Raw genomic sequence first — 16,041 nt, forward strand, 5'->3', positions numbered from 1 at the left:
CATGATTCTGGTATTCCAGTGCCTTGAGCCAAGTGTCTTCCCATTGCCTGTGGGTTTCCTAATGGTGTTTGAGGCCACAAAAGCTTCCCCAAAATGGCATTATAATTTTGGCTGTGTTACATTAGCATCCTCCTACAGGGAGATTTATAAATTCCTATTGAGCTCATTTACTGATTGTTTTCCATGGGCCTATTTATCAAATGTACAGCCCCATGAATTTTCACATGCTAAATGCATCCATGTAACTAACCACCAGCTAGAGCAAGACACAGGATATTGCCAGACCTCAGAACACCTCTTTGGAGTTCTTTTCAGTCACTATCCCCTGCCCCTCAGAATAATGTTTACCCTGACCCCTCTGATATGGTTTGGTTGTGTCCCCACCCAAATCTCATCTTATATTTCCTATAATCCTCACATGTCATGGGAGGGACCTGGTGGGAGGTAATTGAATTATGGGGGCAGTTCCCCCATGCTATTCTTGTGATAATGAGTAAGTTCTCACAAGATCTGATGATTTTCTTTTTTTGAGATGGAGTCTCTCTCTGTCACCCAGGCTGGAGTGCAGTGGCAAGATCTCGGCTTACTGTAACCTCTGCCTCCCAGGTTCAAGCGATTCTTGTGCCTCAGCCTCCCGAGTAGCTGGGACTACAGGCGTGCACCATGACACCCGGCTAATTTTTGTACTTTTAGTAGAGGTGGAGCTTCACCACGTTGGCCAGGCTGGTCTCGAACTCTTGACCTCAAGTGATCGGCCCACCTCGACCTCCCAAAGTGCTGGGATTATAGGCATGAGCCACTGCACCCGGTTGATCTGATAGTTTTGTAAGAAGCTTTTCCTGCTTTTGCTTGGCACTTCTCCTTGCTGTCGCCCTGTGAAGAAGGATGTGTTTGTTTCTCCTTCCACCATGATTGTGAATTTCCTGAGGCCTCCTCAGCCCTGTAGAACTGTGAGTCAATTAAACCTCTTTGCTTTATAAATTACCCAGTCTTGGGTATGTCCTTATAGCAGCCTGAGAGTGGACTAATATACCCTGTCACTATAGATTGGCTTTGCTTGGTTTTGAACTTGACATACATGGCATCACACAGCATCTGCTCTTTTTTTTTTTTTTTTTTTTGAGATGGAGTCTCACTCTGTTGTCCAGGCTGGAGTGCAGTGGTGCGATCTCGGCTCACTGCAAGCTCTGCCTCCTGGGTTCACACCATTCTCCTGCCTCAGCCTCCTGAGTAGCTGGGACCACAGGCGCCCACCACCACGCCCAGCTAATTTTTTTTTTGTATTTTTAGTAGAGACAGGGTTTCACCGTGTTAGCCAGGATGGTCTCGATCTCCTGACCTCGTGATCTGCCTGCCTCGGCCTCCCAAAGTGCTGGGATTACAGGTGTGAGCCACCGCGCCCGGCCAGCATCTGCTCTTTTCTGTGTGGCTTCCTTCACTTAGCTATGCCGCTGAAACTAATTCATGTTGTTGCAGCCATCAGGAGTTCATTCTTTTTCGTTGCTGTGTGCTATGGACTGAATATTTGTGTTCCTCTCTAATTCATGTCTTGAAGCCTAAATCCTCATGTGATAGTATCAGGAGGTCATGAGAACAGAGCCTTTATGAATGGGATTAGTGCACTTACAAGGGGATGAAGAGACCAGAGCTCTCTCTCTCTTTGCCATGTGAGGATACAAGAAGATGGCCACCTCCAAACCAGGTGAGAAGCCCTCCTCAGACATGAATCTGCTGGCACCTTGATCTTGGACTTCCCAGCCTCCAGAACTGAGAAATAAATATTTGTTATATAATCTGTCCAGCCTATGATATTCTGCTATAGCAGCCTGAACTGACGTAGATACTGTGTCATACTCCATTGCACGGGAGATGTATCCTTTCTCTTGTTGATACACATTTGGATTGTTTCCAGTTTGGGGGTATTTTAAAGCTGCTAGGAAATTCTTGTTCTCATTTCTAATTTTTAGCAAGTAATATTAACTTGAATTTGTTTCATCAGACCTTTAAAATGCAGGTTTGAACATTTAGGAATATTGTACAGGGAATGGATCCACGAGACATCTGCTTGTTTTTGATGCAGTGTGAAGAATGCATGATCATTGCATTCACATTGAGTTGAGCTGGATGGTTGTAAAGATATGCTTGGCCACTACTGAATTACCTAAAAATTAATTCGTACCAGGCAGGAGCAACTGTGGCATTGCCAAGTCTCATTCCCAGCCCTCATGTCCTAGAAGATGAATGGGATGGAGCCAGAAGTGATGTGTAACATGGGATGGAAGCAGAAGATAGATTCCACTGCTAAAAACTGCATGGATTATGGGTGTGTATTCCATAATACACAAAGGTGACTCCACAGACTCTCAATTGTGCTTGTTGCTCAGGCCAAATCCTGCCTTTTGAAAAAATAGCATGCGTGTTTACAGATAAATTTTGAAAGCCCGTAGTTAAAGCTAATGACTGTATTATTTTCTAGATTTCTCCGGGCTTGTGGCTGTGTTGGGAAAAGTGGATGGGCCTTGACTCCATAAGCTAAGCTGAGTTACTTGTTTAACACAGGAAATGTGTGGAACATTGTTAGAAGCAAGAGCAGAGCTAAATTTTCTTCTGCTCCCCACACTTCTCATTGCTTCCATTACCACCCATTGAATGGGCAATGCTGTACCCCATGGTGTTGGCTTCTGATGATCTCGATCTACGACCCTTCCTCTTCGCTTAGATTTTAATTCTGAGATTGCCTGTATCTTGATCTGAGTAATAGCTCTCCAGTTCAAGGAGAGGGTATTGGAGTGGATTCCCTCAGCGTTGAGTTCATTGGGAACCATCCAAGGAGCAGCCACCAATAATCTCACTGTGCCTCCCAAGAGCATGGTTCTGTTGAGCACCTGCCAGGGATGGCATGGGGATGGCTAGGGCTGGGCATGGTCTAGCACACTCTTTATTCTTCTTTCTAACCCTTTCGCAGTTGAGAGCATCTTGAGGTTATCTGGCCCAACCCCGATAGCTCTGCATTTCATCTCTACTTGCACACCCACTGTGACAGAAAATTCTCCACTCAGCAAGGAGTAAATTGCATTTTTTTAGATGTCTAATTGCATTTCAAATAACAAGCTTCCGTTCTGCCTTCTGTATCCACACAGAGAGCCTTGTCCCTTTTCATGAGTTCCTTTTTGGACATTTTCAGCCAATTAAAAAAAATCTCACTTTCATTTTCTAAATTGTCTCCTATTCAAGTTTATCTTTCCCTGCTCTTTCTATTCCTTCATGGTAGGATTTCTAGACTCAACCTTCTGGGTAGCCCTTTCCTGGATGGATTACGAGTTTTTCAAAATAACTCTGTTAATGAATGTATAGTCTTCTAACCATATCACGCACACAATACACACACAAACACCTTTCACTTACTGCACAGTGCACATATAACACACATACAGTGCAACACAGACATATACCACATATACACCAAAGAATACACACACTACACACACCACGTAATACACTACAATACAATGAAACACAATGCCACATGTGCCACACAATACACACACACCACACATACATACACAACACACAGATATACACAAATATGCACAGACATCCCTCACACACACCAAATGCATATTACACACACTCACATACATAATAACACAGATCACCTAGAAATAAACACAATCACGTTATACATACACACCCCAAATACACTCCACACACCTTCCTTCCCTCAGTCCTTCTTTGTTTGCATCTCTTCAAATAATTGCAAACTCTCCTATCAAAAAATTGCAAGGCCCGTGAGAACATTAAAGATAATATATAACTGCATTGTGATGGGTAAAATAAATTTATGATGTTGGAATCCTATTTGTTCAGCATTCTAGCCATGAAATTGAAGGATGTCACACATTTTTCCCTTACTAAACCTGTAAATGAATCATCTAAAGATAATAAGTCATTTTTATGGAGTAAGACTGCATAGTGTTGCTTCACTTAAATTTAAAGATGATGTGAGACATAATGAATTTCCAGTTGTGAACACAGGTGCAGACACTCATCACAGTTTGAAAAAAATAAGTTCTTAATGGGATTCATGATATTCAGGTTATCTTACTAACTTCTCCAACTTCTTCCCTTTTTATTTACATTTTATTGTAAAATAAATCATAGACACAGAAAAATCCCACTCATAATAAATGTATAGCTTAGCGAATTATTTCAAGATGGAAGCCCTTGCAATGATAACTCATATCAAGAAATAGATCTTTGCCATTTTCCCCAAAGAATCTCCATATATATTGTCCATATTGCTAGTTTGAGTTTTTATAAAAAATCATGAATGAGTGTTGAATTCTGTCTAATGTTTTGCATTAACATGAAAGCATGATTTTTCCCCAGTTTTTTTCCTGATGATGTCATGAATTAGACTGATTGCCTTTAAAAGCAAAACTGTTCTTCCAGTCCTGAAATAAACCCTATTTCTTCATAATATGGTATCTTTTGTATATATCACTGAACTTACTATGCTAATATTTTAAAATAATTTTTGAGTATATGTTCTGAGAGAGATTCATCCATAAAAGTTGGGAAATATTTCCTCTCCTTATAGTCTTTTAATAGTCTAATATATTACTTGTTATTTGTTCCTGTGAAATGAAAAATCCACCTGTGCCTGGGTTTTTTTGTGTGGAAATATTAATAATAAATTCAATAATAATCTACTGAAAAAACTGAATAATAAATTAATTATTGTAAATTATATAATAATTTCTTTAATATATATCAGACTATTCACATTTTCTATTCTTCTGTTAGAATTGGTAAATTGTATTTGAGGAATTTATTGATGTAATCCAGATAGCCACATCTTCTGGAGTAAATTTGTTCATAATATTCTTCTATCTTGTTAATGTTTGTAGGATCTGTAGTTATAGTTCATTTTTTCTTTCTTATTAGGTAGTTAGTGTTTTATTCTTGTTCAATTTTCCTAAAGATTTATCATTTCAAAGCATAACTTTTGACCTTGTTGATTTTTAAAGATTTTTAAAAAAATTTACTGAAATTCTGCTCTGTTCTTTGTTTGTAATTTTCTTCCTTTTGCTTTAATAAAGCATATAAGGTTACAAATTTCCCATCTTCTGTTTCCATGATTTCCCCTCCTACTCCCCATCCCCTTCCTTCTCCTTTTTTTGATGGAGTCTTGCTCTTTCGCCCAGGCTGGAATGCACTGATGCGATCACGGTTCACTGCAGCCTCCGCCTCCAAGGTTCAAGCAACTCTTCTGCCTCAGCCTCCTGAGTAGCTGGGATTACAGGCATCTGCCACCATGCCCGGCTAATTTTTGTATTTTTAGTAGAGACGGGGTTTTGGTGTTTCACTATGTTGGCCAGGCTGGTCTTGAACTCCTGACCTCAAGTGATCTGCCCGTCTTGCCCTCCCAAAGTGCTGGGATTACAGGCATGAGCCACCATGCCTGGCTTGTTATCTGCTTCTAAGATTTCTTTTGAGAAGTCAGCTATTAATTTTTTTCTTTTTTTTCTCATTCCAAAGAAATGTGTTGTTTGTTTGGCTGATTTTAATATTTTCTTCTTGTCCTTGATTTTTAGAAAGCTGACATCGATGATGTATCTAGGTGTGATTTTCTTTATATTTATCTTGCTTGAAGTTTGCTGAATTTCTTGAATGTGTGGGTTGATGTCTTTCATCAGTTTGGAATGTTTTTAGTCATTATCTCTTTGAATATTGCTTCTCATTCTCTCTCCTCCCTGGTAATGCAATTATATATTGTTTAGACATTTTGAATATATCCCTTATTTCTCTTAATTTCTTAAAATCATTTTTTTCTTTTTAGTTTCTTTCCTTCAGTTTGGGTATTTTTCTATTGCATTGCTTTCCAGTTCACCAGTTTTATGTCCAATCTACTGTTAAAACTATTCATTGCATTCTTAATTTTGGATATTATGATTTTAGTTCTATAGTTTATTTAAAAAATAATTCTAATTCTTAATTGCAAATTGCCATTATTCTATTTATATTGCCTCTCATTTCCTCTATTTTCTTGAATATATTAATCATAATTATTTTAAAATAATTGTCTATTGTATCTAGAATTTGGGTCACTTGTGAACCTAATTCTGTTGTTTGCTTTTAAAAACATTAAAGCACATTGAGCCTATGGTCTTATCTTTTCACAGATCTAATAATTTCTTGTAAGCTGAATATTTTGTATAAAAGACTGTAGAGGTTCCAATGATGTTCTTTTCCACATGAAAGTGTTTTGTGTCTCCTCTCTAAGGCAGAGGAGGTTGATTCCCAAGGGCCAACCATTAGGGATTGGTGTAGTTTTGATCAGACTCAACCTACCTCTGTTCTCAGGGCTTTATCTGAGAGCTTGGAAAGTCTTTGCATCCTGAGTTCTGAATGATTGTGGGTGATTCAGCTTGGCCTTAGAGAAATTTAAGCTCAGCACTCACACTCCTGACCTCGTCACCTTCAGAATTTGGCAAAGGTCTTGATGGAGAGAATGCTTGGGTTGGATGCCCTACCCGCTAATTTTGTCCTTGACAAACACTAAAGTCTTTGCTTTGTTTTCTGTCTCCAGCAGCAGCAGCCTCTTGCCAGGGGCTGAGCCTTGATACCCACATTTGTCTGGTGCCCCCAAAAGAGTGGCTGCAGATCCTGGTGTCAATTCACAGGCTTTCATCTTGTGCTGGATTTCTTTTCAGGTTCCTTCCCTGGGAAGTTTTTTGTTTCCTAGTCACAAATATTGACAGAAATTTTACTTTGCCTTTCAGGAACTTTTAGCCTAGCTCTTTAGGCCTCCACTCCCCTGACTACTCAGCTAAAAAAAAAAAAAAAATCAAATGTCTTGTGGGTAAAATCAGCTATGCATTGCAGGGCCCTCACCTGAGATATGATTTGTCACCCTAGCCCTATGGCACCACTGAAAGCTTTTCTGGTTTTCCTTCCTCTAGCGGCGTCTTCTACCTGACCTAAATCTGATCACTGGGCTTCTATTTAACAGTACAGGAAGATGTTTCCAGGGAAAAACAGATGCCAACCATCATCTCCCTCTTACTGGCTTTTCTCTCTGAAAGTTTAGTTTATTTATTCTTTGTTGATTCCACATCTCTCCAATGCTTCGAAAATGATTTTTTATTCTTTTGTTTCTTAGTTCCTGAGATCAGGGGCATTGGCTGTTACCTACTACTTAGAAGTGGAAGTTTGGGGCACATGTTTTGACTTTCTTTTTCATAGTTTGTTGACTTGATTTGACATCAGTACACTCTGTACCCTATGGCAGGGAACCCCAAACCCCAGGCCAAGGACCAGTCTGGTATGGTCAGTGGTCTGTTAGGACCTGGGCCACACAGCAGGAGGTGAGAGGCAGGTGAGTAAGCGAAGCTTCGTCTGTCTTTATGGCCACTCCCCATTGGTCACATTCCCGCCTGAGCTCCTCCTGTCTGATCAGCAGCAGCATTGGATTCTCACAGGAGCTCGAACCCTATTGTGAACTGTGCATGCCGGGGATCTAGGCTGTGGACTCCTTATGAAAATCTAATGCCTGATGATCTGTCACTGCCTCCTATCACCCCCAGATGGGACCATCTAGTTGCAGAAAAACAAGCTCAGGGTTCCCACTGAATTCTACATTATGGTGAGTTGTCTAATTATTTCATTATATATTAAATGTAATAATAATATAAATAAAGTGCACAATAAATGTAATGTACTTGAATCATCCCGAAACCATCACCCCTGACCACAGTCCATGGAAAATTATCTTCCACGAAACTGGTCCCTGGTGCCAAAAAGGCTGGTGACTGCTGCCCTATGGAATCACTCGGGATTTAAAACTTTTACTTGTAAATGTTAAACGTTTTGCATCAGAGGCATCTTCAGTGGCCACAGGCTGGAACGTTTCCTCCTTAAGCTGAGTAGTCCTTAAAACAATGGAACCTGTGTAACTAACTTCATTGCAATTATAATGGAATTCTCAAACTTTGGGACACTTATAGCACAAATTTGGGGCATGATTTCTTAAAGATTCTCCATGCCATTGTAAAGTAATGGTGTGGCTAAAGTATCCCATCAGGGTCATGTCCTCATGTCCTTTGATTACTACAACTCCTGGCATTTAGGAGTTTTTTTTTTTCTTTTTTTTTTTTTAAGGCATGAAGGTGAAGGAGGGCTTCAACTGGGAGTTTTGAGCTTTTGGTGTGTGTAACTTACTAAGATTGGTGAGGGATTAAGTATTAGGCTAGGGAAGGAAGAGAGGGAGTCAGATGCAAGTCTTCCCAAGCTTTCTATGTTGATCCAATCAGTTTTCTTTTCCTTTAAGTTTTTTTCTCTCTTCAGGTGGATCATTGAGGCACCAGCATATGCCACTTTTGATTCTGGGTTCCACTGATAGACTGGATAAAGAAAATGTGGTACATATACACCATGGAATACTATGCAACCATAAAAAAGAATGAGATCATGTCCTTTGTAAGGACATGGTTGGAGCTGGAGGCCATTATCCTTAGCAAACTAACGCAGGAACAGAAAACCAAATACTGCATCTTCTCACTTATAAGTGGGAGCTAAATGATGAGAACACATGGACACATGGCAGGAACAACACACACTGGGGTCTAGCAGAGGAGGGCAGAGGGTGGGAGGAGGGAGAGGATCAGGACAAATAACTAATGGGAACTAGGCTTAATACCTAGGTAAGGAAATAATCTGTACAACAAACCCCCATGACATAAGTTTACCTACGTAACAAACCTGCACTTGTACCCCTGAACTTAACAGTTAAAAAAATTTAAAAAGGGTTTTTCTGTTTCAATTATACGTCAAGAAGAGCTGCTCTCATTACCTGTGTCACAGGCAAATGAAAGCTTTGTTTGATTACTTAAGTAATCCAGGAGAACATGTAACTCATCATTTTCAGGAAGGTGGTCAGTGAAGAGAAGAGGAAGAGAGTAGAAGCTTCTTTTAGGATGGAGGAGAAGAAGACAGTTGGAGTGGGACAAGTCCCATTTGATGGTGTGTGGTCGCTACAGCAGGTACAGTGAAGTGGCTCCTGTTTTGGAAATGAGGGAAGCTCCGATTCCCCTGAGAGAGTAGAAAAAGGTCAGGATGGGTGCTAATGGGATGCACTAGGTGGAGGGCAGCTGGGAAGCTACCTCTGTGCTTGCACAGTCTCCTCAGATGGGAATTATTTCTCTACTTCTGTCATATTTGTCTTGGTGTAACTGAACCCGCATCTTAAAATTCCCTGATTACCTCAGTTGGAAGTGAGTTCTCCTACATTTGCGCTCCTGAAACACGTGAGAATATTAGTTGTTCTGAATGAGCTGTTACTGTACTCACGGGTGGTACAGTTTAGAGAGGGTGACGTGTTTGTTATGAGTATGGGCTCTGGACCTAGCCTCCCTAGGCCCAAATCTCCGTTATCTGCTTTCACTCACTGGACCTAGGGCAAGTTAACTTTTCTCATCTGCAAAATGGACTAGATCTTGAAAGCAATGTCAGTGCATTTTGTGAGGATAAAACAAGTCACTGCATTTATTTGATTAATGTGTACAAAGCACTTTGAGTACACTGAGTACTCACTAATGCTAGCTGCTACATTTCCTACTAGTGTAATTGAACGAATACACACACTTAGAGTATATTACACTTTAAATAAACGTTATCGTATGTACTTGATTGTCACTATTTGGTGATAGAGACCCTGTCTTCCTTGCAGTGAAGGGCACCATAGTGGCTAAACTTAGAGTTACTTTAGAAAAACCAGGTGTTAGGGTGCCCCCAAGAGCATTGCCAGTGTGAGGGAACAGTATCAAAGAGGACTTCACAGATGACAGTTAAGGTTTCAGGTCCACATAGGTCTTAACTATAAATTGTGACAGCGTAAGGGCTGAAGGTCTGAGAGTGTGTGTGCTCACTAAGAGGCTAGGGGTTTCAAGTTTCCTGAAATAACTGCAAGAACTGCGCAACACAGAGAGAACCTACAGGGAAAGAAAGGAAGGGGCCGGGAGCTTGGACTCACAGTAAGGTCCTGGGATGGGGATTGAAAACCAAAAGCAACTGTGATGACACTCTGCTGCAGCTGGTGGGCAAAGCTGGGAAGAGCCGGAACCCTGGCTTCCTGTTCCACCTCCATAGGACCCATCCCTGCTGCTCCATGCCCTCTCTGAGGATCCACCAGTGCAAATGGTCATCTCAGCCTCCTAAGAGTCAGCCCTCTTGTGAATCCTCCTGCAGATACAAACAAGGCTGGGATGTTGCTTGCCCTTCAGTTGGGGGTTGTCTCAGGCAGAGGCCCTAAGGGATGGTGGTGACACCAGGCCAGACGGGAGAGCCTGGCTGTTTGCCTGAGAGTTCCAGCTTTGCCCCCAACAGCCATGAGACAGCTGTTCTCATGCCAAGAAAATGAATTTATACAGTGAAGTAAATCAAATTGTAAAGAACAATGTGATTAGAGAAAAAAAATCGTTTGTTATCTTGCAGTCCCCGGACATGATATATTCGTGGCCCAGGACCTTTTAAACAAAGAAATAATAAGAAACCATTTAGAAAAACAAATAAACTGGCAAATGTTTGTGAAATATTTATAAGATGCAGAGCCATTTTACATGCAAGAATTTATTAGCTAATTTTTTTTGTCTTGTGAAGGACTATTTTTGGAGACAATGAAATTGTTCTGGAAAAATACTTAAATTGGTAAGGATTAAAAACACACAAGAAAGCCAAGACTTTAATTACTATTATGATTTAGTTATATTTTTTGGGGAAAAATTATGCAAATCTATTTGTACTTTTAATCTTTTGTCAACATTTTCCCTATATTCATAAGTTATCCAACTTATCAAACAGAAAAAAGTCAGATGTATGAGGGGAAGAGATCTGGCTCAGCTAAAATTACTTGGTCTCTAACTCTGTGATGATGTGAGACCTTAGGAATCTCAGACTTGCTGTATTAGTGAGTAAGTAAAAATCCTGGGTTTTAGAACATTTAAAGGAAATGGTGTTTATTCTCCCTTATTCGTCTCACTTGGCAGTGGAATTATTGCAATTTCAGGGCAATGTACTTGAACAGTGATGTTGGCAAAAGGGAGTAAGAGTAGACAGGATAGTGAATGATTAGAAACCATTTTGCAGAGGGAGCAGTTGAAGGAATGGGGTTCTTTACACAGAGAGCAGAATACTGAGTGGGAAGCCATAGGCCAGCCCTCCAATGTATGATGGTTTCAATGTCCTCCTTCTTTCTCTGTCCTCTTCCCAGGAGGGGCGCTTGACCAGATGGGTGAGAGAGTGCAGAGCTTTGTGCATAGCAGTGCAGACAAGTCGTGCAATAGGGTGTGGTCAAAACGACCAAGAAACAGGATTGCGTGTCATGTGGGTGCTTCAGCTTGAGGAATCTGGAAATCCTAAAACATCCTTCAATTTTCCAGAGGACTTGAGATGTCTGTCCTTTTTGAGATGGACAGGTTCCCCTGAGAGCTGTCTCACGGTGGTCTACAAAGGGGGCACAGCAAGATGGACTTGGGAGTTTCTGTAGCTCTGCCGGCCAAACTCCAGCCAGGGGGAAGCCCATGGAAACTTGCTGGCAGTCCCAGCCTCTTAGAGTGATCCCCTGGGAGCCTCCCAGACTTTTTAAAGGGCGAGTTTGAGGAGAAGAAAGACATGTCGCTCCAAATTAGGCCACCAGTTTCTCTGCTAGTTCACTGCAACACTTTGTACATTTCCAGGTCATCTCTTACATACGCTGGAGATGTGTGATGGAGCTTGATGCTAATTAGCAGGCTAGATCTGTGATGTTTTTATTAAGTTGGGTCACAAAGTGTTCAATGCCTCTCTCTCTAGAATGATGATGCACTCATCAACCTGTCCTAAGTTCTGCGGCTTTAGCCAAAATTCTTAAAGAATAGGAAAAGTCCCACTTCACACCGTGTTCCATCAGGCTTTAACTGGTCACTGTACTGCTTGGTACAACACTCTGTTCATTTGTGTGAGTAAATAGAAGTAAGAGTCATTGAACTCAAGGAGATATAGCACTCTATTGAGGCTTGAGTCTTAGCAGGTGGTACCTTGGCAGAGAAGTGATTTCATTCTTAGAACTTTTAAAGGAAGTTTCTGGGAGAGTCACCTCTTGGGTGGAGGTTGGGTTTGATCTCAAGGACTTTGTGTTTGAGTTTATAGGACTCTGCCTAAGCAAACATAGAGCTGTCTAGCCTAAGTGGTGTTCTTTGATGCACACTGGGACTTTCTTGATCGGTTATTAAATGTAATTCATTGTTATAAATGTGCCCTTGACAAAAATGGATGTTCTTTAACTTTTGAATATAGAACTCTGTATCCATCCATTAGGGAAAGCTTGTCAATTGTATTGTTCAACTATTCTTGCTGAATTTTTTGTCTGATTGATGTATCAATAATTGTCATAGTAATCCAATATGATGGTGAATTTATCAAACTTCTTTCTGCAGTTTTAACACTTTTTGCTACATCTTGTGAGTGTTTTCTTAGGTCCGTACATTTGACAAAATTTCTTTTTGTCATTTCAATAAACTGAGTCTTTTCAAATTAATGTAATGATAATCTCTATCCCTAACTCTTCATTTTGTCTTAGTATCTCTTTTGTCTAGTATTGATGCAGCTGTATTAGCTTTCTTTCTGTTGGTAGCCATTTATGTCTTTTATTTCTTGAAACATTGAACCATATAAAATTGGCAATATCCATCCTTTTTTGTCCCACAAAAATGGCAATTTCGTATGGCTGAACCAATGCTGTCAAACTGCTTTTGCATGCCCCTATGCTTTAAGTGGGTCTCTTGTATACAATATGTAAACCCTTCTTTTGATCTTTGTCTTTTAACTATGACTTTAGCCCATTTACATTTACTGTAACTACTGGTATAATGGGATCCATTCTACCATACTAATTTATTATTTTTGTTTGCTTACCTTTCTACATTTTAAAAAATTGCTATTTTTTATTTATTCGATAATAAGATAGAACTTTTGTGTGCCCTCATATTCACTGGTGTCATCTTCCCTACAAACATTGCCATCCTATTAATATTTTCTATCTTAGGGATGGTGGCTTATGGAACTTTCTGTGATGATGGAAATGTTCTATAGCTATGCTGGTCAATATAGTAGCCACGAAGGGCTATTAAACCCTTGAAATGTGGCTAGTGTGACAAAGGAACACATTTTATAATTTTATTTAATTTTAATTAACTCAAATTTAAATTTAAATAGCCACATGAGGCTAGTAACTACCATATTGGATAGTGAAGATCTATCTTATTAATTCTGTATATTTTGGGCATATTTATCTCTTCCTTGTCCTAACGACTAAAGATAACAAACTTTGCCAATATATTTGATTACATTTATTTCACATCATTATTGTCGCTTGCAACATCTCAGATTTGCTTCTTCAATTTAAGCACTTCATCTACAAACTTTTGTCAATGTGGGCCTCTGGGTGACAATATTTGTAAGGTCTTATAAGTCTGGTGATCATCTTATTTAATGATGTTTTGGCCAGATCTAACAATCTAGGCTATTTAATATTTTGCAAACACCAATCCAGTTTTTATTTTTGCATCCATTCTTCCTATTGAAAAGTCTGGTTTTACCCAAACTTGACCTATTGTATATAATGTTCTTCACTTCTGGCCTCTAAAATTTTTCCTTTTGTATTTTCGATTTTAAAATTTTATTAAAATGTGTTTAACTTATCACTCCTCTCTGGTACTGTATGAGATTTTTAAATATAAAATTCTAGAACATTTATATCTTATGTCTTCAAATAGTTATGAGTCCCTTTTAATTTTCCTCTTTTCCTCCTGCAACTCCTTTTATTTGGATTTAGTGCGTGTATTTCATTCCTCCATGTTGTTTTCATTTTTTTTGTATTTACCAATTACAAAAGTTTTAATTTTTTTCTTCTTCCTGGGATTGACATTTTTCCAATGCTCTGGTCTTCCAGTTTGCTATTTTGCTCCTCAGCTGCTTCCATTTGATATTTATCCTATTCATTTCATTTTTTAGTCAACTATAACCTTTTTTATACCAAATGTTTGACTGCTTTCTATGGCTTTCTTTTTGATTCATATTGCTAATATATCCCCTTATCTGTTTTCAAATGTTTATTAGTCTAATTATGAATTCTTGGTTGAATATTTCTGCTTCTGATGGAGGCTGTAATCTAGTAGGTTTTTCTTTTTAAAGTGTTATGCCCATCAACAATCTTTCTTTTTTCTTTCTTTTTTTTATTTTATTTTTTGTCCTGAGAGTGCCTTCCCTTCTGGGATATTGGCTACTCTGTCAGCCATGCACATTGAGGAAGGCCTGACTCCACCACCTCAGCCCCAGTGAGCTCAAAGGATGGGGTGGATGAACTTTGTAGCAGAGACTTGGCACCAGAAAACACAGTCATGGTTAGTCCCCACCCTACAAAACCACTCCTCAGCTTGGAGCTTCACCCACTACCCTGCTGGGAACAGCAGCATTAGGGAGAAACACAGTTAGATTGGAATTCACCAGCCCCGGGGAAGATGCACGAGCTACCGCCTGAAGTGATCACTCTCCACTTAACTCTTTTCAGCTCCTCATAAGCACACAAAATCTGGACCTCTCTGATGTGCCTTCTGTGGCCGTCTGGACCAGGGGCCACAGTTGCCACGGTTTTGGGTGCAGACATGATCTGAGTGAAGAAAATGACTGAAAATTGCAAGTTGAGCTCCGGCTGCTCTTGCCCCAGGCCGAATCCACCTCTCCATGAGTTTAAAATAGCATTGCCCCCTACCTCCATTTCAGGGGGCTTTACCTCCAGAGTTCACCAGCTTAATTTTGGCCAAGGAAGCTGGGCATCATGCTCGTTCAGCATTTGTTGGAATCAGAATCCTCTATTCTATACAAATAATATATTTAAAAATTATCTAATGAGAGATTCACTTGTTTGCCTATAAATAAGTACTACAAAGCCTTTATTCTCAAACAGGTAAACATATTGAACATCAGTCTAAATCTAGGCTTAATTCAAAATTTATAATAACTTGGATGGAGTTGGAGATGTTTTACCATGTGTCGTTTCTTTTCAACAAAATTGTTCAACAAAATGAAAAAATATTTCATTTCAACAAAATGAAAAAATGTTTTCAACAAAAATGTTTATTTTCAACAAAACTAAAATGGCATATTGGCTGTGGTCCTTCCCAAGGTGATTTAGATGAGATAGTATGAAACGTTTTCCTTTCAGATAAAATTAATGGGAAAATGACTCCCCCTAGGACTCTGACAATAAGGACCTAGAAGTCATTTTGAAATGCAATTAGACAGTTTGGATGTGGTTTTAGCTCCCGGCTGCCATTAGTGAGAGCTTAATTTTGGTCTCATGCAAATAATGCTGTGTCTATGAGAGAATCGCCAAACATGAACTTTGCAGGGCAAGAAGCAGGGATGTATTTCTATTTCTAAATTTAAGCCTTGAGACAGTTAACTCAAGGAAATGATGAAGCGTGTATAAAAGACGACTTCAGAGACTTGTGAAGAGATCGCCATTAAGAGAATTTATCACTTACTGAAGATTATCGTTTTTAAATTTTGAAAGATTTAAAAACACAAAGAAGAATCCCAGAAACATACATATTCATGATTTAACAAATGTTAACATTTGGGCACTTTTCCTTTATGTTATTTTTTTAAATATATTTTTCTGTACTTAATGCTTTTTAAAAAATAGACACATAGAAAATTACAAAAGTAATCATGATCATGCATTTGGTGAATATTCTTTAGCACTGCTAAAAGGGATGAAATAATGGAAGCACACGGAGGCCTAGAAATCTGTCCTTCATTTGTGATGGATGTGTGTCCATCTGCTCATATCGAGACTGGGTCCATCTCAGTGGCCACCTAAGAACAGAAAATGCACAACCTGGAAAGATTTTAACATAGAATCATATAATCCTAGTTTTGGAAGGGCTTTTAGGCCACCTAGTCTGATACCGTGATTTACAGATGAGGAGCCTGAAACTGAGA

At 39.5% G+C, this 16,041-nt stretch overlaps 1 long non-coding RNA gene across 1 annotated transcript in view, besides 1 other annotated feature; it reads left to right on the plus strand.

Moving 5' to 3' along the window:
- The first annotated feature begins 1,857 nt into the window (after positions 1-1,857).
- LINC02236 (long intergenic non-protein coding RNA 2236) overlaps positions 1,858-16,041 on the plus strand; it is a 30,849-nt gene continuing 16,665 nt past the window's right edge. The window contains exon 1 of the long non-coding RNA NR_146281.1: positions 1,858-2,323. This is a non-coding gene — a long non-coding RNA (long intergenic non-protein coding RNA 2236). The remainder of the gene's footprint in view (positions 2,324-16,041) is intronic.
- Positions 9,745-10,245: an enhancer, noted in NCBI's record as "H3K27ac hESC enhancer chr5:6803880-6804380 (GRCh37/hg19 assembly coordinates)". NCBI's record gives its function as "activates a minimal SCP1, AML or CMV promoter by ChIP-STARR-seq in naive H9 embryonic stem cells {active_cell/tissue: H9 hESC(naive)}" and the evidence as "EXISTENCE:reporter gene assay evidence [ECO:0000049][PMID:30033119]".

This window comes from Homo sapiens, chromosome 5 (genome assembly GCF_000001405.40).
Source record: "Homo sapiens chromosome 5, GRCh38.p14 Primary Assembly".
Lineage (NCBI taxonomy): Eukaryota > Metazoa > Chordata > Mammalia > Primates > Hominidae > Homo > Homo sapiens.